Below are 4,175 nucleotides of genomic sequence, written 5' to 3'. Positions count from 1 at the left end.
CATCATTCATGACAGTTAAAATGTGGAAAGAACCCGGGTGTCCATCACTGAATGAATGAATAATCACAATGTGGTATCTACTCAGACTTCATAAGAAAGGAAGCTCTGACACATGCTACATGGATGAACCTTGAAGATGTTAGGCTAAGTGAAATAAGCCCGTCACAAAAGAACAAATGCTATATTATTCCATTCATATGAAGTCCTAAAGTAGTCAGACTCAGGAGAATGGCGGTTGCCAGGGGTTGTGGGGAGGGAAAATGGGAAGTTATTGTTTAATGGGGACAGCGTTTCAGTTGGGGACGATGAAAAAGTTCTGGAGGTGGATGGTGGGGCTGACCGCACACTAGTATGGATGTACTTAGTGCCACAGCTATGCAGCTTACTACCAGAGCTACACACTTAAAAATAGTTAACATGATGAATTTTATGTCATGTACATTTTACTAAAACAAATAAATTAAACCCAAAGTAAGTAAACGGAAAGAAATAATAACAATAACAGTGGAAATCAAGAAAAATAGAAAACCTAAAAAAAGAGAGAAACCAATTAACCAAAAAATAGTTATTTGAAAAGATCAATAAAGGTGGTAAATCTTTAGCTATTTGTAGACTGATCATGAAAAAGATAACACACCAATTACCAGTATCAGGAATGAAAAAGAGACAGCATTGCAGATATCATAGACATCAAAGAGACGGTCAGGAAATGTGGAAACAATTGTATGTCAATAAATTTGAAAAATTAGATGAAATGAAGACATTTCTTGAAAGGCAAAAAGTTACCAACACTGATTAAAGGAAAATAGAGATCGGTTTATATCATCTAAGAAATTGAATTCATAGTTGAAAACCATACCACAAAGGTAACATGATTGGTGTATGTTAGAAGACTCCAGAGAATCAGAGGCTCTATTATATTTAGAGAAAAACTCCACATCAGTTTTAGTAACTAATAAATAAGTCTATCACCATGGCTATTTTTTACCAAAAAATCTACTGGAACTTTGATTGGGATTGGTTTGAATCAATATACAAAACCAGTTATATTTCTTAGCTGTGTTTTTTTTTTTTTTTTTTTGAAATAGTCTCACTCTATCATCCAGGCTGGAGTACAGTGGCGTGATCTTGGCTCACTGCAACCTCCGCCTCCCAGGTTCAAGCAATTCTCCTGCCTCAGCCTCCTGAGTAGCTGGGACTACAGGCGCACGCCACCACACCCAGCTAATCTTTGCATTTTTTAGTAGAGATGGGGTTTCACCATATTGGTCAGGCTGGTCTTGAACTCCTGACCTCGTGATCTGCCTGCCTCGGCCTCCCAAAGTGCTGGGATTATAGGCATAGGCCACCACACCTGACCTGTATTTCTATATATTAGCAAACGATTGAAAAAAGAAATTTTAAAATATTTTCAATAGCATCAAAAAGCATGGAATAGTGATAAATTGAACAGAATGGATTTAAGATCAATACATTGAAAACTATAAAACCTTGTTGAGAGAAATTTTTAAAGGCCTCAATAAGTGCAGAGAGAGAGAGACCTTTCTCATAGTGTAAACCTAGAAGTATCTGAGACAGGTCTCAATCAATTCAGAAAGTTTATTTTGCCAAGGTTAGGATGTGCCCAAGACACAGTGTCAGGAGGCCCTGATGACATACATGTGCCCAAGGTGATCAGGGCACAGCTTGGTTTTATACATTTTAGGCAAACATGAGCCATCAATCAATATATATAAGATGTACATCAGTTTGGTCCGCAAAGGCAGGACAACTTGAAGTGAGGAGGGGGCTTCCAGGTCATAGGTATGCAACCGGTTGCATTCCTTTGAGTTTCTGATTAAGCTTTCGCTGAATGCACAATTTAGTGTATGCAGTGAACGCACTAAATGAATGAATGCACAATTTAGACTATTTAGGAATAGTCACTTATGCCTTAGTCTGGCTTAGTGAAACAACAGGGCAAAGGAAACAATCAGATATGGATTTGTCTCACCTGAGCAGAGGGATGACTGAGTTCTGTCTGTCTTTCCTCCACAAGGAATTTCCTTGTGGGCAAACTGTGAGGGAGGTATGTAGCTTTTCTATCTTTCATAGTTGGAAACCGTACCACAAAGGTAACATGATTGGTGTATGTTAGAAAACTCCAGGGAATCAGAGGCTTTACTATATTTAGAGAAAAGCTCTATATCAGTTTTAGTACCTAATAAATAAATCTATCACCATGGCTAATTTTTACCAAAAAAGTCTACTGGAACTTTTAATTGGGTATAGAATGGGAGGCAGTTCCCACCTTGACTTTTCCCTTGGGCTCAGTGATTTTGGGGTCCTGAGATTTATTTTCTTTTCACAATAGATTAAAGACTTGATATTTATCTGTAGATTTAAAGCAACCCCAATCCAAACCTCAGCAGACTCTTTTTGTAAATGTAATAAGCTAAGTCTAAAATTTATGTGGAAATACAAAAGACCTAGAATAGGCAAAACAACTTTGAAACACAAGAACAAATGGGTGAACTTAAACTACCTGACTTCACCAGTTTTTGAAAGGCAGTAATCAAGACAATGCGGTATTGCAATGAAGACAGACAAATAGATCAAAGGACTAGAAGTGTGAGCTCAGAACTAGATCCTTACATACATGGTCAACTGATTTTTTGTAAGGAACAAAGGGAATTCCATAGGGAAGGATAATCTTTTAGAAAATCAGAGCTGGAAAAACTGAATATTCATATAAAAAAAATGGAAACTTGGCCCCTTACCATAAAATCTATGGAGAAATAAACTCAAATTTGACCATAGACCTAAATATAAAAGCCAATGTTACCAAGTGTCTAAAAGAAACCAAGGGCCAGGCGCGATGGCTCTCGCCTGTAATCCCAATACTTTGGGAGGCCAAGGTGGGTTTATTGCTCGCAGCCAGGAGTTCAAGACCAGCCTGGCCAACCTGGTGAAACGCTGTCTCTACTAAAAACACACACACAAAAAAAATTAGCCAGGCCTGGTGGCACACAGCTGTGGATCCCAGCTACTTGGGAGGCTGAGACATGAGAATCACTTGAACTCAGGAGGTAGAGGTTGCAGTGAGTTGAGATCGCACCGCTGCAGCTGCGTGATGACAGAGCGAGACCCTGTCTCAAAATAAATAAATAAAAGAAACCAAGGAGAACATCTTTACCTCTGTTAAAGCAAACTAAATATGGCCTGAGAAGGACTTTGGATTTCTATATTTGAGTCCTTGTGGGTGAACTGTAACCCAGCTTAATAGTCAGACAAGATTGACAACCTAAATTAGGAGTATGTGCCTGTAACAATAACTGAGTCTTGGCCAATCCCAGCAGCCATACTTCAACCACTCATAGAGTGCTGAGTGTTCAAACTGTGTTCAAATAAGGCAAACGCCAACCTGTAACCAACCCAGCTGTTTCTGTACCTCAGTGCCGATTTCTGGATGTCATTTCCCTTTTTCTGTCTATAAATCTTCTTCTACCACCTGCCTGCGGGAGTCCGTGTGAATCTGCTGTGATTCTGGAGGTGCCTGATTCACAAATCATTCATTGCTCAATTAAACTATTTTAAATTTAATTCAGCTGAAGCTTTTCTTTATCACCTCTTTAGCATAGGTCTTAGATCTGATCCAAAATACACGGACCACAAATAAAAAATGAATAAGTTTTTAATTTTCATGAGGCTTCGTTTAAGTGTTGTCACAAGAAAAATGAAGCATAAGTCAACAAAAAAGATAAGCAGCCAGGCACGGTGGCTCACGCCTGTCATCCCAGCATTTTGGGAGGCTGAGGTGGGTGGATTACTAGGTCAGGGGATCGAGACCATCCTGGCTAACACGGTGAAACCCCGTCTCTACTAAAAATACAAAAAAATTAGCCGGGAGTGGTGGTGGGTGCCTGTGGCCCCAGCTACTCAGGAGGCTGAAGCAATAGAATGGCGTGAATCCGGGAGGCGGAGGTTGCAGCGAGCTGAGATCGTGCCACTGCACTCCAGCCTGGGCGACAGGATGAGATTCCGTCTCAAAAAAAAAAAAAAAAAAAAAAAGCACATGAATGTTCACAACAACTTTATTTATAATAGCCCAAACTGGAAACAAAGGAAAGTAGAGATCAATAGGTGAGGTTTATATCAACTAAGAAATTGAATTCATAGTTGAAAACCAGACCATC

At 39.4% G+C, this 4,175-nt stretch overlaps 1 annotated feature.

Annotated features, from left to right (window-relative positions):
* Positions 2,795-2,956: a silencer, noted in NCBI's record as "fragment chr20:58051005-58051166 (GRCh37/hg19 assembly coordinates)". NCBI's record gives its function as "represses an EF-1alpha promoter that drives an FKBP-Casp9 reporter gene in an ReSE screen in K562 erythroleukemia cells {active_cell/tissue: K562}" and the evidence as "EXISTENCE:reporter gene assay evidence [ECO:0000049][PMID:32094911]".

This window comes from Homo sapiens, chromosome 20 (assembly GCF_000001405.40).
Source record: "Homo sapiens chromosome 20, GRCh38.p14 Primary Assembly".
Taxonomy (NCBI): Eukaryota; Metazoa; Chordata; class Mammalia; order Primates; family Hominidae; genus Homo; species Homo sapiens.
Note: the sequence above shows the minus strand (reverse complement) of the source record. Positions and strands in the feature narration are given on the sequence as shown.